This window comes from Homo sapiens, chromosome 16 (assembly GCF_000001405.40).
Source record: "Homo sapiens chromosome 16, GRCh38.p14 Primary Assembly".
In the NCBI taxonomy this organism is placed as follows: Eukaryota; Metazoa; Chordata; class Mammalia; order Primates; family Hominidae; genus Homo; species Homo sapiens.
Window position 1 is genome coordinate 82725738 of NC_000016.10, and position 26381 is coordinate 82752118.

Consider the following 26381-nt stretch of genomic DNA (forward strand, 5'->3'; position numbering starts at 1 on the left):
CCATCCTCATTCCTTTTGGCTCTCTGAGAAATGTTCTTTTTTAATGAATATGATAGCAAGACTTACTTATTACCAGGTTATTTCAGGCAAGAGTGATTTTTAACTCATTAACCAGATAATTATTGCAGTTCTCCAGTTACCTTTCTGTTCATAGACTTAATAAGGCCTGAGGTTATGTGGCAGAGTTTTCTTGGCTAAGATGGGAGAATTATTAAAGCTCTCAGGTGAAGGTGTGAAACCTTTGGTGCACAGAGGGTGGCCGTGCCATTCAAGCAGTCCGTGATGGTGAGAGGGAGCTCAGCTGCTTAGGGAACTGGTACAGGGTTTCATTAATCATGGGACATTTCTGGTGTACTTGAAAATGTTAGTTTTACTTATGGGAAAGATATCCAGACGTAAATGTGTGTGTGCTGTGTGCATGTGCGCACGGTAGGTTATACAGCACCAAGGGGTCAAATAGACTGGTTGACTGTATCCTGTAGTGGTTTGGAGCAGGTGTTGGCAAACTTTTCCTGTAAAGTAAATATTTTAGCCTTGGCAAGCTATAAGATCTTCATCACAGCTACTCAATTCAGCCAATATAGTATAAAAGCAGCAAGAAGATACATATAAGTGAGGATGTGACTGTGTTCCAACAAAACTTTATTGTGGACATTGCAGCTGGAATTTCATATAATTTTCATGGACCACAAACTGTTACTTTCTTTTGACATTTTTCTACTGTTTACAAGATAAAAACCATTCTTTTCTCATGAGCTGTTCAAAAACAGGTGGTAGGTGGGATCTTGCTGGTGGGCTGTTGTTTGCTGACCTCTGGATTACAGTCTGCATCTGTTGCAGCTTATTTCAAGCACCGCTTGTTTCATTATTTACTTTATCGCCTTGGGCACACTCCATAAGTAGTCAGTGCCTCAGTCTCCTCTTCTGCAAAAGAGAAATCAGAGACTTCCTATGTTGGTAGAGAAAATTTGTAAGAGTTAGCAGAGATTAAGTGCCTTAAACAGTATCTGGTGCGTAGCACCCCCTTGAGAAATACTAGCTTTTATTGTTTTCATTGAATTACTGTCTCATGGAATTCTTACAACTACATCATGAGGAAAATAGTATTAATAGTATTATCCCCATTTCCCAGATGAAAACACTGAGGCACAGAGCTGTATTCTGTCTGAGGCCAGAGTTAGACCATGACTTACTTATTTACACAAAGCAGCAGGGACCTGTCTTTGATGATGAACAAGTCCAAATTACTACAAAACTGCTTTTGTTCTTCTTCTAATGAAGTGCCCAGGATTCCCATCCATCAGAAATTGCCTGTGCCTATTAGAAACTGTCATTTGGCAAGGGGATGAGGGCGGCGGCGGTGGTGGGGTTACAAGATGCGCAGGTGGTATAGGGAAGGAGTGGCAAATCAAATGACAGCAACAGAGCAGCCGTTACTGCATTTTATTTTTTTGGCATTTTCTTCCATTGTTCTCCTTTGTGGACACACTCTGGTGTTTGCACTGGGGGCATCCCTGTTGTATTTGTAAATCCCTGGAGGTTGCAGTTGTAAAATGTGCCTTTATCCTCTCCCATTGCATTTTTTTTCCTCTCTAATGCACCAAATTAGAAGATTGACTGATTTTCGTTTTCCCTGGAAGGTAAAATTTCAGCTTAAATCACAAATGTCTGTGATGCACTTAGCAGCCACCGCAGCTTCTAACCAGTAACCATTCCTCCTTATTCCCTCTCTACCCAGGAGAATATTCAGGTCTATTGTGATTTCGAGATGCATTAGCCGCACTTAGAGTTAAGGATCAACTTTGGCTTCTGTGGAAGCTGCTGAGATTTAAAGGGTAAGAGCTCATCCCATTTAGAACATGGTGTATTCTTTCCCTCCTTGCTCATATCATTTATGAAAGGATAAAAGACTGGAGAAAGTGTCAGAGTAGATTCTGGAGGTACTTATATTGCTAGGACAAAAAAAAGAAATCACATTACCAGTAGCTGGCTTAGTTCTGCATGTTACTATGTGATCAGTTTCCAAAGTTCTTCGTCTTGGAAGACAGGCAGCCCCAACCTATGGGAATCTGCTCACCCTACAATGGTGAGCAGACCCACTCCACCCATCTTTGCCATTCAAGTCTACAGCATTTGAACAGATCAGCCCGTTCTGTGTCAAGAAACTCCTTATGCATGTTCTGGACACAGCCCTGTGTCTCTGCAGGTTCAAATTCCCCTGAATGAGAGAAAAGTTAGAATCTTCCCTTCGTATCTCAGCTTCTCTACTCATTACTCAAACCCTTGGGAAAGCTGCTCTATTACTTATTATGTCTGCTTCCTCTGGAAAATGGCAGGGTAATATGAATACCTTATTTATAGGGCTGCTGTGAGAATCAATATTTGTAAAACACCTGGAAGAGAGCTTGACACATACAAAGCACTCCAAAAATGTTCTCTGGCATTAAAAACATTTGATAATATGGGCTGGGAGGGATCACACTGCTTCTCAGATGCAATCCTTCAATGGCACCCCATTTCTTGTAAAAATAAATACTAATCTCCTCAACCTGGCTTACAAGGCCTTGTTCAGTTTACCCTTATGGGCTTGTTCTATCCATCCACTTTTCCTCCCCAGCGACACGGTACAGGCACACCTCAGAGATATTGCAGGTTTGGTTCTAGACCACAGCAATAAAGTGAATATTACAATAAAGAGAGGCATACAATTTTTTTTTTGTTTCCCAGTGCATATAAATAATAAACTACAGTTACGCTGTAGTCTATTAAGTTTGAAATAGTATTATGTCTAAAACGTGTGCATACCTTAATTTAAAAATACTTTATTGCTACAAAATATGAATGATCATTTGAGCCTTCAGGGAGTCATAATCTTTTTGCTGATTGAGGGTCTTGCCTTGATGTGACATTGATGGTTTCTGGCTGATCAGGGTGGGGGTTGCTGAAGGCTAAGGTGAATTGGCAGTTTCTAAAAAGAAGACCACAATGAAGTTGTCTGCATCAACTGACTGTTTCTTTTACAAAAACTTTCTGTAAAAATTTTGTATAGCATGTGATGCTGTTTGATAGCATTTTACCCACAGTAGAACTTCTTTCAAAATTGGAGTCTACCCTCTCAAGCCCTGCTACTGCTTTGTCAACTGGTTTAGGTACTGTTTTAAATCTTTTGTTGTCATTTCAACAATGTTCACAGTATCTTCCCAAGGAATAGAATCCATCTCAAGAAACCACTTTCTTGGCTCATCTATAAGAAGCAACTCCTCATCTGTTCAAGTTTTATCATGAGATTTCAGCAATTCAGTCACATCTTCAGGCTCTATTTCTAATTATAGTTGTCTTTCAGTTTCCACCACATCTGCCGTTACTTCCTCTACTGAAGTCATAAAGCCCTGAAAGTCATCTATGAAGGCTAGAATCAACTTCTTCCAAACTCCTTTTAATGTTGACACTTTGACCTCCTTCCATGAATCATGAATATTTTTAATGGCTTCTAGAATGGTGAATCCTTTTCAGAAGGTTTTCAGTTCACTTTGCCCCGATCCATCAGAGGAATTACTATCTCTAGCAGCAACAGCCTTACAAAATGTTATTTCTTTAATAATAAGACTTGAAAGTTGAAGTCACTTCTAGATCCATGGGCTGCGCAATAGATGTTACATTAACAGGCATGAAAAAACTAGTCTCGTACATCTCTATTAGAGCTCTTGGGTGACCAGCTGCATTGTCAATAGGCAGTGATATTTTGGAAGGAATTTTTTTTTTTTTCTGAGCAGTAGGTCTCAACAATGGGATTAAAATATTCAGTAAAGCATGCTGTAAACAGATGTGCTGTTAGACAGGCTTTTTAAAAGTAGCACTGCAAGAGTAATTTAGGATGATTATTTAGGGCCCTAGGATTTTCAGAATGGTCAATGAGCATTGGCTTCAACTAAAAGTCACTGGCTGTTTAGCCCCTAACAAGAGAGTCAGCCTGTCCTTTGAAGCTTTGAAGCCAGGCAGTGACTTCTCTCTATCTAGGCAATTCCTAGATGGCATCTTCTTCCAGTATAAAGATGTTTTATCTACACGAAAAATCTGTTTAGTGTAGCCACCTTTGTCGATGATCTTAGCTAGATCTTCTGGAAAACTTGTTGCAACTCTCTACATCAGCTCTTGCTGCTTCATCTTACACTCTTATGTTATGAAGAAAGCTTTCTTTAAACCTCATGAACCAAACTCTGCTAGCTTTCAACCTTTCTTCTGTAGTTCCTTACCTCTCTCAGCCTTCAGAAAATTGAAGAGTGTTAGGGCTGTGGATTAGGTGTTGGCTTAAGGGAATGCTGTGGCTGGATTGATCTTCTATTCAGACCACTTAGACTTTCTCCCCATCAGCAATAGGACTGTCTTACTTTTATATCATTTGAGTTTTCACTGGAATGGCACTTTTTATTTCATTCAAGAGCTTTCTTTTGCATTCACAACTTGGTTGATTGGCCTAAGAGGCCTAGCTTTTGGCCGGTCTTGGCTTTCAACATACTTTCCTCACTAAGAAGCTTAATCATTCTAGCTTTTGATTTAAAGTGAGAGGTATGCAACTCTTCCTTTTCCTTGAGCATTTAGAGACCATTGTAGGGTTATTCATTGGCCAAATTTCATTATTATGTGTCTCAGGTAATAGAAAGGCCTGAGGAAAGGGAGAGAGAGGGAGAGGAAAGGCTGGTTGGTGGAGCAGTAAGGCCATACACATACAACATTTACCTATTACGTTAGCCTTCTTGTATGGGCATGGTTTGTGGCATCCCAAAACAGTTACAATAGTAACATCAAAGATCACTGATCACAGATCACCATGACAGATATCATAATAATTTGAAAGTTTGAAATATTGCAGGAAAGACCAAAATGTGACACAGACAAGAAGTGAGCACATTCTGTTGGAAAAATGACACCAATACACTTGCTCAATGCAGGGTTGCCAGAAACCTTCAATTTGTAAAATATGCAGTATCTGCAAAATGAAATAAAGTGAAGCACAATCAAACAAGGTACACCTGATGTCTTTCAGTTGGCTTAAGGTAATAATTGCTGCAGCCAGCTCAGTCCAGCCCAGATTTGTTACATTTTCATGAATTTTTCAAATGTTTTGTTAAATACAGCTATCATTAAAAATTAAATTGCATCAACTTATAATTAAGTTATATTAAAAGAAGGGTAATATGGGCACAAAACTGACCATTTCCTGATTATTTTACTACATTTTACTATTTTCTATGCTTATTTAGTCCTATTATTTATGTATGGTGAAATCTATATAATGGGGAACAGCTGCTCATAGCTGCCAGCACTTCATTCAGTGAAGTCACATTGGCAGCTTGAAGCTGGCCATGCCGGGAGTATTTATATGACAGGAACTGGCAAACACCTCAGGGCTAGATGTCTTGTTTTTGAACTAGAATGGCAGTCAGCAAACTTTTTTCTGTAAAAAGCTAGAGGAGTATCCTAGGCTTTGTGGGCACCGAACCCTCTGTTGCAATTACTCAACCCTGCAGCTGAAGAGTGGAAAACAGTCATAGAATATACATATATAAATAAATGAGTATGGCTGTGTTTCAATAAAACTTTATTTACCAAAACAACAGGCTCACAGTTTGCTGAACTCTAGTCTAGACTTACAAAAGTGATAGAGAAAACATAAAGAATGCAAATTAAATTTTAAAAATGTGTTGATTCTGGTAGCTGTTACATTGTATATTGCCCCCCAGAACACAGGACATATTCTTTAAACATCTGAAAAGTATTTTGGGATTCAGCAAAGAAGCTGCTCAAGACATTGACAAATAAGTGAAATTCTGACTTAGGTCATTGGTTTATTTTCAATCTTGCTTGTTCATTTAAATGGAAATGGCAATCAACATTGATATGGGAACCACACTTGCTCATCAGTTCTAACTGTAAGTTGGCTACAAGTGTAAGAGTTTGGAAAAAAATCAACAAAAGCATTCTGTGAGAATCAATTGGCTGTGTGTACAATTTACAATATAGAAAATTGTGTGTTTTATTATTTGTAAATTATGTGTTACTTATCTTTGATATCAGTGAAATACATAATCAACATATATGTGCCTGGACATGCCTATATTGGTTTTTGTGTAGAGCCAATTATTAACATTACCAGAATATCACTGCTTGAATGGGGCATGTTCTCTTTAGCTTCCAGGCCTTTGAGTGGTTCCTCCACCTGAAACAATCTCTTCTTCCCTTTGCCTACCTAACTCCTCCTTCTTTGATCTGCAGCTTAAATGTGACTTCTTCAAAAAAGACTTCTTTGATCCCTTCAGTACCAAATGAGTTCTTCCCTTTATGCACATTTTTCCTTGTGACACTTGACTTAATTATAGTTAAATGATGAATTATGTGCTGGCTTATTACTTCCTTTTTACCAAAAGACTGCACGCTTCCCCAGGTAGATAGGTCCATCTTCTTTATCATCGTGTCTTTGGAGTCTTACGCAGTTTGTTGAAATATTATGTTTGTAGCTGAACTGAATTGTGATTTAAAAAAAAATAGGTCTGTATTTAAAAGTTTTAGTGTCAGCTCCATCCAGCCCAAGTTAAGTACTAATTCAGCAAGTTAGTTAAGTAATAAATGGCTGTCACTCAACTACAACATATTTGAATTCAGTTTTGAGGCCCCAGTAGTTGCTAAAAATCAATGCCCACTTTCTCCAGGTATAGTAATTATTTCTCATATTGTTATTGACTGTCTCTTTAAAGACCAGCCAGGACAAATCTATTTCTGAAGCTGTTGTAAATGATTTGAAACAGGAAGATGAATGGAATGGAATGAGGGTTGTTTAAAAGAGATTTATCCCTCTTATTCTTGCTCAAGAAATGAGTGGCCAGTTGCTACCAGCCTATCCCAAAAGCCAAGAGATAAAAGCCAGCAGCAGTTAATTTTCTAGTCCGTGTGCTAGTGACCACAGATATCTAACCACTGATTTCCAAAGGCTTACTATTATTCATACATATTTACTATGGTAAATAGCTCATGTTTTCAGGAACACTGAGGATCTGTTTAGTCACTTTGGATTTCTGGTTTCATCAAGAGTTTGTGTCCGACATCTGGGGATGAGTGAGGGTTCCGGATACCCATTACAGAGGAAGAGTCTGATGGGGAAACTAGAGGGAATTCCTATCTGGAATTTAAATTTAAGTTTAGGATCTCAGAAAGACAAATGGAGTTGAAGCTGTGTCAGGCAGAAGAGATATCTCCATTTGTTTTTCTGCTTTCTCAACATAAGGCAAATGTCAGTAGTAACCAGGTTTATTCCACAGGCATACTCTGCAATGTGTGGGTAATTGTGCCTATCGATTGTGACAAAGTCTTCAAGCATGAGGCAGAGAAGTTTGCTATCCAACTGGATGCCCTCAACAATGTTTGCATCTCAACAATGTGTCCTCACATTGGCTGGCTTTACATATGCAGACAAGTGAGGACATGCAGAAAATCATTTCACTGGTCCTCCCCATTGCATTGTCGATTGTGTGGAGGCTAACATGTAAAGTTATCAGCCCAGCAGCAGACACGGAGTGAGTTGTCCATAAATAGTCATTCTAATTGTTCTGTTTTTCTTATTATAATTTATTTTTGCTATGTAAAAAAAAATCAAATGATCTATTGCGTGTATATGTGAGTTTTTGTTTAAAGGCATATGACCCAATTTGTAAACATGATCATTATCTTCTCTGGGAAGAATACTAACCAAGGGAAAGAGTTCATGATTTGGCTGTGTAGAGCTCTCATTAAGTGATAGGTGACTGGTTCTGTGCTGAGTGTTTTTCATCATCTTGATCCTATGAGACATTCAACATTCCATCTTCATCTTACAAATGAGAAAACTGAGGCTTAGTGAGGTTCTATAGATGCTCAAGGTCACAGACCCAACAGGTGACTGAGCTGGGGTTTAAATCTCCAGGGGGTCTTTTAGTAAGGCTTATGCTTTTAAGCACCAAACTCTACCAGGATATAAATGGCAAAAGGAACTGCTTAAGATATGAAGAGAAAAGAAACACACTACTTAACACAAAACAAAAACTGGATAAAATACCCAGTTGCCTGAATATGTATGCACTTATTCTTGCATTCAGCAAATAAGTACATAGCACCTATCATGAACCAGTGACTTTGCTTAGGAACACAAAGCAAGCAAAATCCCTGCCTTGATGGCACTTACTTCTTAGGGAAAAGAGAGGATGACAGAACTGTAGAGAAAACAGAGTATACCAGATAGCAATGAGGGCTGTGGAGAAAATAAGGTGGGAAGAGAACTAATATTGGAGCTGGGATTTCAGAAGGAAGAAAGTGTTTGAGTTGAGACCTGAAGGAGGTGCAGGAACCACAGGACCATCTGGGGTCATGGTCAGCAACATGGCCAATGGGCCAACTTTGGCCCACTACTTGTTTTCATGAATAAAGTTCCATTGGATCTCAGCCAGGCCCATTAGTTTATGCACTATCTGTGTCTGTTTTTGTGTTCAAATGGCAGAGTTAAGCAGTTGCAATCCTGTGGCCCAGAAAAACTTAAATGTTTACTATTTGGCCTTTTATAGAAAAAAAAAATGTGTCCACCTACATCTAGAAGAAGAGTTTTCCAGGGAGAGGGGACAGGCAGCACATAGGAGTCTCAGGATGGGAATATGCCTAGTGTGTTTGAGGAGGCAGGTGCGCCTGCAACAGAATGGGCAAAGGGGTGAGTGGAGGGCAGGGCCTGGGCACGTGGGGGCCACTGTAGGGGAGAGAGGGAGGATTCTGCAGAGTGTTAACAGGAGGACTCTCGCTCTTTGTGATACATCCACTGTCTTAGGTTGAAGAAGCAACTCTGAGATGGAGTTTAGCATTCAGGGCCAACACCTATGGAAAGCAGGGGCAGGAAGCAGGAGTGAGCAGAGGGAGAAGTCCAGCTATGATACAGACCAATGGCAACCTTGGCCACTCTCTAGGAGCTTCAGAATTGACCCTGTTTGGCCCAAGACAGACAGGCCTTTATACTCCAGTGTTGATCGGTCATTGAATATAGGTCTTTCAATGGCAACAACAGTTACAAGGAAGGAGCATCACCTGGGTGATTGTTGAGAAGCTGAGAGCCGAGGGCTGCCTGCTGACCGCACTCCCAGCAGCTGGTGCCATGGGTCCTGCATTGAAGTAGGATCTTGGGGGCACATCACAATGTCCAGCACATAGAGGATGTAGGGAGTAACAGCTAAAGCAAGACTAATTAGGAGGCTACTCCGGAAATCTAACTGAGAGATGAAGGTGGCTTGAACCAGGAGGTGGCCAAGAGTTGGCAGACTCTCTCTTTTGAAGGTAAAGCTTTCATATATTCTCCATGGCCTAAGATCACCTTAAAGGAGCAAAGTAAAAGGAAACAAGCCAAGGGGAAAGGCTTCAAAGATTCAGTCTATGTTATTAAATCTCCCCACCCATTGATTATCATCCATGACAGTCTTTGCTTAGCTTAGGTTTACCTGTGCTCATCATTTTCCAGGGTGTACAGAAGGAACACTATTTAATCACAAACGTTCCAATCACAAATGCTTCAGTGACAGGAATAGAAGCTGTCACACCAGACAGGGCAGATAAGTCCTTGTCACATGGCTGGGTCTGTCCCTGCAGTGACTGTGCTATTCATAGCAAGAATGTTGTGTTGCTAAACTTGGCATGAAACAATACAGTTATTTATGCGACTTCATGAACTAGAGTATCGCCTTGGATTTGAGATTCTGCTAAAGCTACATGAGTGGGCAAATCAAGAAATTGTATTCCATAATTTGTTTCCAATCTGACAGAGTACTATGTGTAATAGATGAATAAGCTTATAGATTTTAGCACATTTATTGCAGTGTGATGTGGTTTGACACAGTGTCTATGAGCTGTGTGGGGTGAAATGGAAGGTTTAAATGGATTCCAGCTTCATTATCCCACTGTGATCTGAGGAAAGCGAGACCACAATGTTGCCATCCAGTAAAGCACTTTATCACATTCCTTCCCAAGTTGAACAGCAGCGTTCTGCCAAAGAAAAGCTATTTGCTGGGTAGACTCTTTAGCAAGTTTCATTTTTAACTTGGGTGCCAAGCCAGCCAATAGAATCTAATGGGCTTTGCTTACAATGTGCATGGCTTGGCTATTTACATGAGATTGACAGCACGAGAAAAACCAGACGCTATACTCACTAGGCTGATTTAGAGGTTTCTCTGCTCATTTGAATTCAGCCAAGCTAGTCAGTCTAGCCCTGGGAAAACCTGCAAGAGTAAAAAGAGAACCAATAAAAGCGATTCATGAAAAACCTGAAGTGCATAAGAAATTAATTCCCCTGAGTTTCCAAACTAGTCAGTAAGCTGCGCTGAGGTTTTGCTTTCTATGTTTCTCCTTTGCTTAGGGACTGGTCAAAATCTCGAAGCCACTTGTTGATTTTTCTCTCTTTAAACTGCTTTGATGGAAGAACACCCAGGGTGTAATGGGCACCTGGGTGGGTGGATGCCTAACTAAATATATTTATATAATCCTTGAAACATGTTTAACTCTGGAGGTTAAGGAAGGCCCAAAGACAAAGCGGAGTTGTTAAGGGAAGAAAAAAACAGAACTTCTTAAAGGTTGACACGGTGCCACTCATTAATTCTAGAAAAGTTTGCAGGGGCTGTTACATGTCAGACACAATGCTAGCCTTCCCAGATGCATTGATGAACAAGTTGCAATTCTTGCTGTGGTGAGCTAATGGTAAAAATAAACAGAGCACTGCCACACACAGACATAAGAGCCATGGGGCAGCATCCCATTCCAATGCCTGGTACATATTAGGAACCCACTAAATACTTGTTAAGGTTCATTTTGTGATGGTATTTTTTTCCTCTCTCCGCTAGCTTAAATCTGTTCAAGTCTCCCATGGTTAATACGATAATTTTTCTGATGTTTATCACCAATAAATTTTTAGAAAAATCAGGCTACACAGTCACTCTCTCCACCTTCTTAGGATACACTCACTCTCTTACCCTTTCACTCCTTCGGGCAATTTGATCTGCTATCTTTTCCCACCACTTTAAGAGAAGGACTCTTGATGGGGTTCCCACACCTGGTCAGATGGCCTCTCTTGGTTGTCTTCCTCAATCCTTTCATTGTGTTGTAGTTGGGCAGTTCCTCCACCTTTCACTTCTCAGATGCAGCATAATCGTGTTTCTTCCTCCCCTCTGAATATTCCTTTTCTGCCTCTCTGCATTCCTTTTCCTCTTCCCAACACCTAAGTGATTCTTAAAAATATTCTCTGACTTTCTATGCCTTCTCCATCAGTGTTAGTTTCAAGTTATCTTGTCATAGTTTCATTTAGGAGATAATGCCTGAATCTTTATCTTAAGCCTTGAACCCTCTAGAACAATTTCATTTGTGTGCTGGGCACCTGGATGTCCCAAAGGCATGTGAACTCATCATATCAGGAGTCAAACTCATTCTGACTAATTTTATTTAATGCTATTTCCATTCACTTGGTCATCCAGGTGGAGACCTGAGGGTCAAGATGGAGCCCTCTCCCATGTCTCTCTCTTTGCTGCTCTCAGATGGACCCAGGGGTCATGTGCTGTCAACTCATCCATCACTATATTTTTCTCCTTTGCCCTTCCATGTTATTTCCATTTCACCCACCGTTGTGTGATACCACAGCGTCTGTTTTACCTCCCACTGAACAAAAGAAATATAATCCTTGAAACGTGCTCCTTAGTGTGGAAGAGAGGGGTGGTCTGATGACTTGTTTCAAAATGATCTCAATATCAACCACTGCCCCAACGGTCTTGCATTTCATACTTAAGCAACATATTTCAATGCAGAGAAGGTTTATAGTGTGGTGGGGATTTGAGGGTAGCTTTTCAATTCTGCTCTGTTTGATTTTTGACTGATGACCCCAGACACAGAGATTTGGCCTGGCAGAACCTGCCCTTAGTTCTATAGAGGACACCTTCCCCATACTTTTTTCTCCTTTTCCTCTTCCTCTATAAACTCTAGGTTCTTTCACTGCATTTCTTTTTTGTAAACAGCTTTACTGAGGTATAATTGACCTACAAAAAATTGCTCCGGTTTAATGTATACAGTGTGATGAGTTTGGATATATACAAGCACTGGTGAAACCATCAGCTTCATAATCAAGGCTTCCAATATCATTCACCTCCAAACGTTTCCTTATGCCCCTCCAGTGTTTGTTGATTTGTTTGTGGTAAGAACACCCACCATGCAATCTACCCTCTTAATAAAATGTTTAAGTGCACAATGCAGTACTGTCAATTACAGGCGCTGTGTTGTACAGCAGACCTCTAGAGCTTACTGATCTTGCTAAACTAGCCACTTGTCACACATTCGTTAGGTTTCATGACAGTCTGTCCTCTGAGATGGGCTAAGAGTTAGTCTGCTCTCAAAGAGTTTCTTGCAAGAATATGATGGGTGCTTTGTGGTGAAAAGTGAAATAGCAATAAAAAAAATCAGTCACTTCCATTGTAAAAATAAACGTAACTGCATGGCCAATATGTTATTCTAAAACAGAAGTTGGCTTCTTACCTGGCTTTACCGTGCACGGAGGACTTTAATTTGTGTTCCTGTCAAACTCTAGGAATGTGAAAATGTGGAAAGCCCATCCCAAACAAAAATAAGCCTCTTGCCGGAGTCCTCACCTGAAATCTCTCTCATTCTCACCCATTCACCTTTCAAATCTGTGCTTTTAGCACATCACCTTTCTGCCCTAAAACGTTTAGTGGCTCACAAGCTAGTTTCCAAATTCCTTAGCTTAGTAGTTAGCCCTCCGCTACCTTTTCTTAATGCACTTTTACACTTTTCTCCATGCTGTAACTAAACAGCACTACCTACTAAAATAGAAAGATACCTTTCAGGTTCCTGACCTCATGCCAGTATCTACCATTTCCTTTTCCTAGAATTCTCTCTTTCTCCTTATTTAAATCCTGTGCATTCTCTAGTGCATTTGGGGGAAAATGTCATCTCTTTCTGTAGGCATTAACTCTCTATGCCCTAAAATTTCATATAACCTTGGTGGTTCCTTTTATCTCACACATTTCGCTTATTTCTTTGACTAATGTTATTCATGAACATGTCTTACCATTTATTCTGCTGCACCTACAACCCCTGGTGGCCAGTGGCTGTCTTACTAACTTTTGTGTTCCCTGTGCCTCACACATCACAGACTTTCCAGAACCTTTTAGTGGATAAAGTTAATGCAGAAATGAGTTAAATATTCAAAGAAGCAGTGAGCAAGATACGTTTTTTATTCTTCCTTTCGGAAATGAATCCTTGCTCTTCCCCACCCCTGGGAACTGTGCCCTGGTTATGATTGAGATCTCATAGTCACTCATCATTCATTCTTTAGTTAGAATTGCATAACATTTTATTCTTTACAATAAAGATAACTTGTTAATTGCTTAACCAGATGTGATTTTACTATTATATTTTTTAGTAATTACATAAATCAGAGGAAAAATCCTTTTCAGATGATATGCCCTTATGTGTGATTTAGACAAGCTGACCACCTACTTTTAGATAAAGAAATCATCTTCTGCCAAGATGGGGCTAGATGTGAGGGAAGAGAAGTTTCCTACCAAGAATTTCCATTTAAATTCAAATTTAGAAGCTTTCTTAGTCCCTGAGTCTTATTCCACTTCAGACTTGTTGAAATTTTCCTCATGAAATATGCTTTAGTTGTCTTGGTAAATTTTAAGAGTGAGAGAAGACCAAGTAACAGTTTACAAAGGTAAGAATCATTTAAACCTACTTACTCTCCCTGTTTAAGCAATGAGGAGGATTCTGTTTATTTATTTTTAAAAAGTGTTAAGGGAAGAAGTGCTATTTCAAATTAAATGAAGACACGGGAATTTGCCTTTAATTATTTAAAATAGTTTAAATCTTGTTGTTCAAACAACACCTTGTCTCTACAAAAGAAAAAGGAAAATACGATGACACTCAGACTTTGTCAACTTTTTCCAAATATTAGCAAGTTAAAAAAAACTATTGGTTCTGAATGGTGAGATAAATATATGCCACCTGTAATATTTACCTGAATAGTATATATTCAGAATGCAATATTGTGTAATCTCTTTTAACTTCAAAATAACCCTTCTTTGCCCTGCAAAGATACTTGAACTCTTGGTGTTGGCTACCTATGAAATTATGTCAAACACATAGATTCTACATCTCCAGATATTCAAAACTAATTATCCCTTAATTTGCAAGTGAAAGCAAAATACCACCTAATAGACCATTTCTCTGGTAAACCTTTCTTTATCTTAATGAGCAGAATGTGGACGCCTATTACAACCTGATTTTAAAACCTCCGTGCCACTCAACAGCTTACTCATAAGACTGACCAGAAGGAGGCAACAAAGATGTAAATATTCTTATTTACAATATGGACTGAGCTCATATCTGTCTATTTAGCATTTTATTATAATGCATGCCATCCCAACAGAATCAATAGTTGATTGATTTCTTATGTAAGAGACTTGAGTACTTTAATTCTGGATGGAAACTCATCAGCAACTTCCAGTTGATGAGATGACGTTCTCCATTTGGTGAAACTGGGCTACATTTAATCATCACAAACTTCAAATTGTATTATCCCACTTTCCAGATAATGTACAGCGTATTAGCCCAACCCGCTTTCTTCAGAAGTGTCTTTAAACAGAGATGGGCTGTATCTAGATAGGGGTGGAATATGCCAGTGTATCGGTTAGCCGTTCCTATAATAATGCTGCATAACAAGCCATGCTAAAATTCCATGGCTTACACATTGCTCCATAGGCTGAGGGGTTGGCTGATCTAGGCTGGGCTCAGCTGGGCTTGACTCCAGACTGTGGGTTTCATTCAGGTCTGCTCCATGGACGTCTCATTCTTCTGAGGACAGCGTGCTCCTTCGGAAACATTCTTTTCCTGATGGAGACTGAAAGTTTCCAGGTTAGCATATAGAAACACATGATGCTTCTTGAAGTCTAGGTAGGAACTGGTGCTCAGTCACTTCCACCCACTGGGCAAAGCAAGTCCAATATCAATGGGGGAACATTCTGTTTGGAAGAACTTCAAAGCCTCATAGCAAAAGCCTCCATATGGGGAGTAGTGAAAAATTGGGAAAAATAATACATTCGATCACAGCTGCTTTGTTTTAGGGTTTATATAAAAGAAATAACTTTAAAAGGGGTTACCTCCTTCTCATGCCTATATTTTTAAAAGTAAGTGTATTACTCTACATTGAATAACCCAAGCTAAAAGTATTTTATAGTTAACCTTGACCTAGTATACATACTCTCTCACTCTCACTCTCCCCACACCCCCAAACCCAACAATGACCACAGATCTTCCTTTCCTTCCACTTTCACAACCCAAAACTTGTCCTGTTCATTCTCTGCTCAAAAGCCCATCAGTGAATCCCTGTTGCCATTGATATAGCTCAAACCCTCGGCTAGCTTTACAATAACCTTCACAGTGTGTGGTTTGTCTCTTCCATCATTCTGTGTGAATTTACTTGTCTGTCTTTCCACATGTTATTTCCTTTGCTGGGACACTCTCTTTTCTCTCTCCCACCTGCCTGGTGAATTGATGTTTATTCGTCAGAGCCCAGCTCAAACTTTACAACGTCTGCACATCCTTCACTAATCCCCTGCAGGCTTTTCTGTTTCCTTATCTGTGGTTTACAAGCATTTTATACATATGGCTATAAAGCACTTATAATAATAGACTGGAATTAGTCATTCATGCGCCTTTTGCTGCTAGCCTGTGAAATCCTTGAAGATGGGGGTCCATGCCTCATTCATTTTCTATCGTTAGCATTCATCTCCATGCCTGTAACATGGTAGGCTTCAAATAAGGTGGTTGGATTGAAAAGAAGGAGATTTTAAAAATAAGCATTTAAGAAATAAAAAGGAGAAACAGCCATGGCACAAACAGTTATGTTCAACCTCGCCATTAATTAAAGACACTATAAACAAATAAAAATTATAGATCAATTTTTATTTTTCAAATAGGGAATTATGTTTTTAGAAAGACAAGACATAGTATTGAAAAAAACATGGATATCTGGCATTGCCAACTGGAGTCTAACTGACAACTTTCAGGGATTTTTATCATTTCTCTTTCTCAAGTACTTAAATATATTCATATGTGTTGACCCAGAAATTTGATTTTAAATAATTTATCAAGTGGAAATAAAGATGTGAAAAAATTACATAGGATTGCTGATTATAGCATCATTTATAGTAGGAAAAAATTGAAACACTCTAAATTTCTTACAATATCAGCCCGGTTATATAAAATCATGGTGTAGATATAACATTGGGCCAAAACGTCTGCCATTATTAGAGGCACAGTTAATAAAATGGGAAAAGGTTTACCATGTATGTTCCAACATAAGAAATTAAGAGCACAAGAAATGAGAATCTTGTAAAATATAAGGGCTATTGTTAGTTACATCCCATGTACGCCAAAAACTGAATTTGAAAGAAATACAGGAAAATATTAATAGTGATTACATTTGGATGTAATAATCACAGGATGATCTTATTTTTATTTTTTTCTTTTTGCCTTTCTCTAGTTTCCAAATTTTCTACAATGAACATACATAGCATTTATAGTAAATGAAAAGATCTAAAAATATTTTAAAGATATAATTATGATACAGTAACTTGTACTGTTAACTGGGCTTGTGTGAGCTCTAAGTTATTGATTATGTATAGCTCTTTATGTGAGTTTCTGCTACTTTTGAGCCTTGACTTGTTTATCTTTAGATTGGGTTCCATTTCTCTTTTGTAATTAACTAAGAACTGAAATGAATTTTCTAAATAGAATTGTTCTTAATTTAAATATGAAATTCTGTTTTCTCTAATGTAATTGTACCTGAGTGAAAGTAACTGCAATGAGGACTATAAAGGAAGATAAAGTAGGAATATGATGTATAATTTCCCTTTGCATAATTGTAACTCTGAAGAACGCATGCTCCCAGCAGAAAAGTAATTTAAATTATATCACAACAAATGCCATATTTTAAAATAGAAACTATCCATCATGTACTGAGTAAAGCTGGTGGCAACCTATACATCTCAAAAATATACTGAAAATCCCTCCATGAGTCCATTAAAAACAAATTGATTGGTTTAATTCCAGCACATGCTGAAGGAAAGTATAAGTGACATTAATGTAATTTTAAGTGCATAAAATTACTAATTACATATTTAGAAAAAAATTATGTAAGAGAATAACCATGAGAAATAATTTTTATTATAAAATATTGAAATGTGTACAATGTGAACAGAATAGTATAATAAATCCCATGTATGTAGCGCCCACAACACCTTTTATTTCTCAGTACAATTTTTATTTTGGAAATGATTTTTAAAAATGTAGAACAATACTTTTGTCTTTATCTTCTGGGCAAAACCAGTTTTGAACAACAGTGAACATTTTAATAATTGTAGACCAGTGCTAATATGTTTTTTGTTTTTGAGACAGGGTCTCGCTCTGCTGCCCAGGCTGGAGCGCGGTGGCACTCTCTCAGCTCACTGCAGCCTCAGACTTCCCGGGCTTAGGCGATCCTCCCACCTCAGCCTTTTAGGTAGTGGGGCCTACAGGCGCAGACCACGGCACCTGGCTAATTTTTGCATTTTTTTGTAGTGACAGGGTCTCACCGTATTGCCCAGGATAGTCTCAAACGATCCACTCACCCACTTCAGCCTCCCAAAATGGTGAGATTACAGGCATTAGCCACTGCACCCATCTACTAATACATATTTTGAAGGCATAATTTGAAATCTGTTGGAACAAATGCTCCAGCAAAGACATTAAAATATATTTTTCACCTAGACAGAGAATAGACATACCTTTCATGTACACAATTTAAAATACAGACCCAACACTCAGCATTCTTTTCCTTGGTCAGCATAAAGCGTGTGAATATGGAAAACATGTCAAGTGTTGCTTGTCCCCCACTGTTAATGTTTTCTCACATTCCTGTCCAGAGATAGTTCTCTGCATCTTTTACATTAAAAATCTTGCCATAAGTGTATTTTTAATACAAATATTTTCTATTTTATAAATATGACATAGAAAAATTTCAAGCTATTCAGGTGTATGTAATTAAATTTGATTTTTTACAGGAAATTTTGAAATTGTTATAGTGATTAATTGATTTGTTCATCTGGCATGTATTAGGCACCTACTATATACCAGGTGCTCTTTTAGACTTTGGAGAAAACAGTGAACAAGATGGATAAGGGATCCCATTTTTAAAGCACAAAGTTTTCTCCAGCTATTTCTTAATGGAGAGATTAAAGAAATCTTCGCCTCCAAGAAGTCTGGATCTAAGTCATCTCCCTTTACTTGATCAGGCCCATTTCCACCCCCTAGTTCAGTTGACAGAGATAGGATGGCAGCCTCTGCCAGCATGTTTCAGGATATACCCAGGAAGCAAATACCTGGTTGGAATAACAAAGTCCAAAGCGAAGCAAGAGGGTGATTGTTAAATGAGTAATTAGAATAAACACTGAAAAATGGTATCTGCCTGGGCCTCTATTTTTCTCGCTTTTGTAGTCGTTTTTCATAGGTTGGACTTCTTGCCCTTCAGAGATAATGAACCACAATATGCATCTATCTGTGGGTAGCAGTAGCTTGAGTTTGGGATTGTTCCTCGGGTTCCTAGGGATTTTTTTGAAAACCAGGAGAGGATTTTCTGAACCCAATTGGTCCAGTTAATGTATCTATACGTCTTACTTCTCTCTTTTCCAGGCATAAATCTCTGGGCTGGCTTCTAGAATACCAGGTCCCTTTCCCCTCAGTTCCTGTGTATCCTGTGTTATAGCTCCAAGAAGGAGCTATAACAGGGTTAGAACAAAGATCTCCCCTCCCTACTACTCCTGGATAAAAATCACAGCTAAGCTGTGACTTTTGAGTGCTTAGCACATGCTAGGCACTGCAGTGAATACTTCTATACACATGATCGCATTTAAGCTCCACCACCTATTTCGAGGGCTGGATGAATTTATGTTTCTTGTGCTACATATGAGGAAACTGAGGCACAAATAGCCTCGGCCATTTGTACAAGGTGCAGAGCCTGTAAAATGGCAGCTTGGCAGTGATACCCAGTTGTATCACTCTAATCCCCAGAGCCTGTGGCCACCATACAGGGCTGCCTCTCACAACACACATAAATAGCCATATGTCTCATAGGTAGCATTGACAGAGTCAATTCTTTTCCAGTACGGAGAGCGGTGAATTTTGAGAAGTGACTTTTTGGCAGAAATGCAATCTAGTGACAAATCAGCAAAAGGTTAGAGTTCAGATTAAAACTCAGAATCTCTGACTTCAGAGTCTACAAGTTAATCTGTGACACTTTAAAGGCTCTGGGAAACAAAAGAATACTGTTGAATCTGGTTACCCCCTCAGACTCAGGCTGACTTGGAGTTGTGTGCGTGGGGCGATGCCATTCCAATGGTAGCCGCTTTGCTTTATGGGGTTTTAGGAAGAAATCCAAGCTTCAGTAGCCTTTCCCAACCGAATGCATTATTAAAGATACAACGTGTAACTCAGGACTGATTTTGACATTTTAAACATGATTTTTCTCCATTAATAGAGTACCATAAAGTCAGCAGTAACAACATTACAGAAAGCTGAGAAAGAAAATACGGTGAAACCCCGTCTCTACTAAAAATACAAAAAATTAGCCGGGCATGGTGGCGGGCGCCTGTAACCCCAGCTACTCAGGAGGCTGAGGCAGGAGAATCACTTGAACACGGGAGGTGGAGGTTGCAGTGAGCCAAGATCACGCCACTGAACTCCAGCCTGGGTGACAGAGCGAGACTCTGTCTCAAAAAAAAGTCTTACTGTACCATATGTATGTGGTTCCATCATACATCATCGTAGGTCATCGTCACCTTTTTCTCCCTTAGGTATAAGCCTTTTCTTATGTTATTGTCTCTTTTCATAAATAGGATTTTTCATAGTGACATACACATCATTGAATTAATAAACCACAATTTAAGTAACTATTTCCACATTACTGAATATTTAGCTTGTTCTTTTAGTCCCCTCCAGTTTGACACTGCAAACACCAAATTTGGTCCTCTGTTATTTTACTTCCAGAAAATAATTTTTTAGAACTAAGATTACCAAGTCACTAATATTTTTGTGGTTCTTAATGGATATATATTGCCAACTGCTTTTCAAAACTATTGTTATATTTAATACCATCAAAATATATCCATTCACAAGTTTAATTACACTGTCTTCATCATTAGTCATAACGTTTTAAAAACATAATTGCCAGCATAAGAGGGAATCTATCTATGTCTTTCTATTTCTCTCTCTCTATATATACATACATTTTATATACATATAAGCACACATCAAACATACTATATACTATATACATACTATATATTATATGCATGGTGTGTGTGTGTTTATATATAAACACACTGTTTATATATATGTGTTTATATATAAACACACTGTTTATATATATGTGTTTATATATAAACACACTGTATGTATGATGCATGTATATATACATATTTTAAACAATTTCTAAGTCATACTCAAATAGAGATGATAGTACTTTGACATTTCTTTAAAATCTAGGCAAACCTGAGATGCTTTTATCATTGAAAGTAGAAGGTGTCCCCATTACTGGCAGGGAAATAGATTCCAGAATTTCATATTCTCTCCAGGTCAGCCACTACAAATGAGAACTGAAGAATTAATCTAAGACTTTTTTCATTTTTAAAAATCGGGTTATTACTTTAGCAGAAATATGACTTTATGCCTTCATAACTAATTGTACTAATTTATGAATAAAGTACATTTTTATTTAAAAAACCAAGAGGCATACTAGAAGAAATTAATCCACTTATTTTCTTCTCAAGTAAGTGGTTTACTTAAGCATACATATATATACAATTTCATTTTCCTAAGACCTAGAAAAAATTCCCAAACTGATTTCTTAAAATTTTTACTTGAAAAAAATTTCAGCTTATAAAGAAGTTGCAAGAGTCGTACCATAGTTGGAAATACTCTGAATCATTTGCTTTGTTTTGGTGTGATAGAGATTTTTTGTAACGATCACTTATAATGTAACTCCCTGGAATATTAAAACAATTGTTAAGGACCTGATGTTGTGATTAGAGCAGCCCTGTTTCTTTCGTTTTTATATTCCTGACAGTGAAAATTGCTGTGCAAATAGTAGAAACTCAGAATGTGTTGTTGAATTGAATTGTTAGATTGTCTTAGTCCTCTTCTATTCAGGCATTTTCTAAGACAATGTGATTGATACAAACAAGTAGAAAATATGCTTTCTCAATACAATGAGTTTTATTTCCAGTGGGACTGTTTAATCAGAATGAAATGTTGTTGTACCATGATGACTGCCCTGCCCTTAGAAGTCAATTATTTTATGATGGAGAAAAAACTGTGGTCCGTAGATCAGTAGAATCAGCATACCTGGGACCTGGTTAGAAATTCATAATCTGTAGCCAAAACCTATGGAATTGGAATCTACAATTAGAAGACCCTCAGGAGTATGCACGTTAAAGTTTGAGGTGTTTAAAGTTAAAGTATGCACTTTAAAGTTTGAGGTGTGTTTATTCAGGTAGCTTTCCTTTCTTCTCATATAGTTTTTAGGTATAAATGAAAGGTCTGGATTATTTCACGTATTGGCAGATGTGTATTTATTTTTTAGTGCAGTGCTTCTCAAAGTATGGTCCCTGGACCAGCAGCATCTGCATTACCTGAGAACTTATTTGAAATGCAAATTCTTGGGTCCTTCCTCAGGTCCGAATCAGAAACTTTGGAGAATGGCACTACTGTTTAACGAGACCTTCAAGTAATTCTGATGGCTAGAGTTTGAGGACCACTGCTTTAATGCTTACGAGAGTTGAATTAGTTGTTTAAACAGAAATCTTAGAGGCTTTGAATCCACTTACAAATTAGTCTTTTCAAAGGTGTACTTTTTAAGTGTCTGCATAATGCGAATGTTGTGAAGTATGTCAACTCTTGGGATTTAGGAATAGCAGAGTATTAGTATTCCAGAGGCAAAATTGTAATTGGCCTTTTCACTTGCATTTTCCCCACAAGTGACAAAAGGCTAAAATTAACAATAGAAAGGCATTTGTTTACATCCAGGCAACCTTCTTTTTTAAAAACCAAGGCACAATTTTAGATAGTTGATAATACCTGGAAAAGCTTGGGCTCAACTTGAGGAAGTAGATTCCATTTTACTTTTCCTTTATTTCCCAGATACAGAGAAATCCATGTTAAATGCCTTCCGTGGGTCCAGAACTTCTTGCTTGTTCTCTTTGCCCCCAGTCTCCTATTTGACAGAGCAGCTGCACTATAATAAATGACTCCCTGGCATTTCAGCATCATAGCTGGGGACTCTGCCAAAGCCCTGGCCACGTCTCTGTAGTGGGACGTACAACAACGAAGAAAAGAGGCTGGATCCACAAACCCCACAGGAAATTAGTCTCATTATTGCAACTCAATTCATGTTCCCATCCAGAAGAGGGCTTCATTGCACATGGCAATTAATTTACTATGCAGAGTGTGTTTTGCTTGGTATCAGCTTTTATTCTGACTTCCAGGACAAAATGGTTGCCTGAGTTCTTAATCGTGTGTGTGATTTGACAGTCAAGATGGGCTATGGGAATCATCTCTTGGTAGTGTCATCAGCAGAAAGAAAATTCTTTTCTGAATTGAGCTTTGGTTGTATGGGATAGATATCTGTTCTGTTGGTGGTGGTGGTTGTGGTGGTTTTGTGTTTTAATTTTTGGATTGTGACCTCAGTTTGAGTGAGCAATGTGATGAAGCTGCTAACAAAAAAATCAAAGAGAAAACTCTAAACTCTGTTAATAATTGTACATTGTAAGGTAGTAAGGCATGTTAGCCTCACTGTGCTTGTCACAGATCAGAATCTACCTAGAGAGCTGGGGTACACGTAGAAGCCCAAGAGTACTAGATGATCTCCTATAAAGAGCCAGGATGGTAGAAGACCTGTGGATTGGCCTTCTGCTATGTTTCTGTTTCCCAGCATCTTTTCCCTCCTGCCACTGCCTATTTTAAGCAATTTTACTTGAACTTTCAAATATGTGCCTTGGTCATCCCAACAGATACCTGCACCTAGTTGGCCAATCAGATCACTAATTGTCCGGTCTCAGCGATTGATCTAGACACATTTATGACCAATATATGGCAAATGAGAGTTCTTTGGGGGAAATTAATTTGAATGTTGCAGAGTGTTGGCCTTCTCACTCCCCTGAAATATGAGTTCCAAAGACAAGGTGAATCTGGAATTGTGGGGTCCAATTTTTTTTTCAAATGGACACAGTGAGTTGGATAAAAAGCCCGACAGAGCCAAGAAATGCAGAGAGAAAGAGAGAGAGAGAGACAGAGAGAGAGAAGGAGGAAGGTGGGAAGAGAGTGACAGACCTTACGGTGTTATTCAAATCCCTGGATCCAGCTGTACCTAAAGCCCATACCTTGAGCTTCCCCATTACATGCACCAATATATTATCTGTTTAATGAGTTTGTTTGCATTACATTCAATGAGGCTTCACTTACATAGCCCAGGAGTCTCACTTACGAGTAATAGTTTGAAGAGAGAGGTAACCCTGATGGAGAAAAAATGAAGATTTATCGTGACAGGAGTGGGGCAGGAAAACCCACTTCCCTTCACATATCTCCAGGTTCGGAACTCATCTATTCCTCCTAACAGTGCTCTGAAGTATTACCTAGCCTGTGCTACAGATACAAAAACTCAATGTAAGGCTCTAACTTGTTTAAAGTCACATACAGAGTGAGAGAGCTGGGACTGGAACCCATGTTCATGCGATTGTTTTAAATAGGTGTCCCTACTTCTGAGTTTCCATTGCATTATGTATATATTTTCCTTGAACCTCCTTAAACTTAACGTATTATAAATGTTTGTAGAGTCTACTAGGCTATGCCTTGACAGTCATTTTTTGCTTCCCTCCTTTCCTTCCTTCCTCACTTGTTTCTTTGCCTCCCTCATTTTCTCCCTTCTTCCTCCTTTCCTTTATGTTCACCAGCACCTAACATACATTTATGCCTATTGGAGGTGTCAGTGATGTTATTTTTGCCAATGACTGAATGAAAGAAAAAAATGTATAAGTTGAAGGCTCCTGTCTCTAGAAACATGGAACTAAAGGCAAGTCGATTTTTGTTTAGGCATTATGGGGAGGGTATTCCTGGGTGGGGCCAAAGATCAGATTAAGAATCCCCCATAACCCTTTAAAGTCAACAGTCCATGGAGGAGTTGCACCAAAAAGAGACTCTCCTTCTAAACATCTGTGTGTGATTCCTGGAGGACATAAGTTGAGCGGGGTGCTTTTGGAGGTTAACTCCAAAAGCAGCGATGCTTCAGAGGGCAGCGGTTGTAAACAGAAATCAGGAAGCAGATGGTGGGGGTATCTGTGGCCAGAAATAAGAATATCTTTATTGCTGAGTAAATAAACAAGCCACATCCTGACTAAATGGGTGGAAATTTCCTGAACATCCAGGAAGGATGTCTGGTCTTTAATCTGTTTTTGGAAAGTCAACCTCAGAGCACTAAGCCCAAGTGTGTGCCTCTACCAGCCTCAATCTTTATCTTGTGATTTATCACCCACTCTCTCCTTCTTTAGGGAGCTTGTTGGTTATTCTGCTTATGGACTCACAGAAGAGAACAATTCTTCCTCCCTTTGCCCATTCAATTCCAATCTGAATGTTAGTACCAGACTAATGATCTGACATAGACTGAAGAAGGTTCCAAGGACTTTTCTGAAAGCTGAGCCCATTTTTGTTCACCATTCTCTTAAAGTCTCAGGTGGAGAAGGAAGACCTTAAATAATAGCTTTTCTTTTATAATGAAAGGGGAAAAATATCTGAAAGAATGCTTCCAGCTGATAGAGGTTGGACAGAACAGTAAGGAGAAATTCTCTAAGTCCACCTGGAGCTTATTAAGATTGAAAATTGCAAGAGATTGGCTTAAGCTGATTTTTTTTTTCCCAACAGCCTAGGCAAAGACTCTGATTTCCAATTTTCTGTTATGGTTGAGTGCATTCTTCCGGCAAATATTTAGTAGGCACTCTTAATGCTAGGACTGGTCACTTAAAACAAGTGTCTTTAAATATTCTTAATTTAGACACATAATCTTCAAACCACAACAGTGATGGAATGAAAGCTAGTCATCAGCAGTTTGCAAAAATTATGGCGCTGGTCCTCTCCCCAGCCAACTTAACTGGGCTTCTACCATCCTCCTCCTTCCTGATCTTTCTTTTCTCTTCCTGAGCATCTATCCAGTTCCCTATTTAATCATATGTAATCTTCAGTATGTGCTTTTATGTGGAAAGCCAGATGTGTACCAGTTGATGTCACCATGATGGACAAGAAAAAGGGAAGCTTACAGAGAAGGGCAGATTCATGGGCTTGCAACATGTACAATTGCATAGGGCCCTGTGCTTAACAGGAGGGCCCATGCGTGCGAGTTAATGCTCTGTCATCACTACCCTGAAATTCTTAATAGATTTTTTTTTGTGTTTTGTAAATGAAGCCCAAAGGAACAATGGAGCATGAGCTGGGGCTTGGAGCCTCACTTCACAGACAGCCCCACCTCCTCCTGCCTCCTCACTTCCCTGGGAGAGGTCTTTAGCCACCTGATCCCTGACCTTGCCCTACACAAGGCACACACTGACCTCCTACTACAGCACCTCATTGCAACTAGCATGGACCAGAGCTCTGGGGCAGGGAGGTTTTTGTCAGGTGCATGTAACCCACATGCAGAATTATAGGACAGAGCCCCAGGTTCCTGGAAAGGTCAGACTTATCCTTCATATATTCCATGCCTGAGAGAGCACAATATTAAATAGCAAATAAAAAACACCATGACAGATTGAGAGAAAGACCATGGAAAACAGGTAAAAAAAAAAAAAAAAAGTTTTGTCTGCTTTTTAGACAAGAGATCGCACGTTTTCGTTTTGTACCTAGCTCTGCAAATTATGTTGCAGGCTCTGGTTACATACAGCCTTTAGTTTATCAGCACACAGTGTTGGTGAGCGGATGAGAAATGTGGATCCTCCCGCAGGTGAGTATAAGGATGTCTGAATGTACAGAAAGCAGCCTGATGTAGGCCAGCCCCATACTTAACTGACGAATTTATCGGTTGTATCTGTCTTCCAGAAACATACAGGCTAAACGCCAACAAACAATGACCATGTCTAAGCATCTGAATATTCCTCTAAGAAATCAACTGACAAATTTGGGGGAAACAAGATGATAGCTGAAATTAACAGAATATCCCCCAAAGCAGCAGCATGGGAAACAAGTGTTATTTA

General features: G+C 38.9%; 1 protein-coding gene across 8 annotated transcripts in view, besides 1 other annotated feature; it reads left to right on the plus strand.

Moving 5' to 3' along the window:
- Positions 1–26381, plus strand: part of CDH13 (cadherin 13) — a 1173672-nt gene that overhangs the window by 98769 nt on the left and 1048522 nt on the right. The window lies entirely within an intron of this gene.
- Positions 8267–10705: an enhancer, noted in NCBI's record as "VISTA enhancer hs1959". NCBI's record gives its function as "enhancer in: heart[7/7]" and the evidence as "EXISTENCE:transgenic organism evidence [ECO:0001131][PMID:17130149]".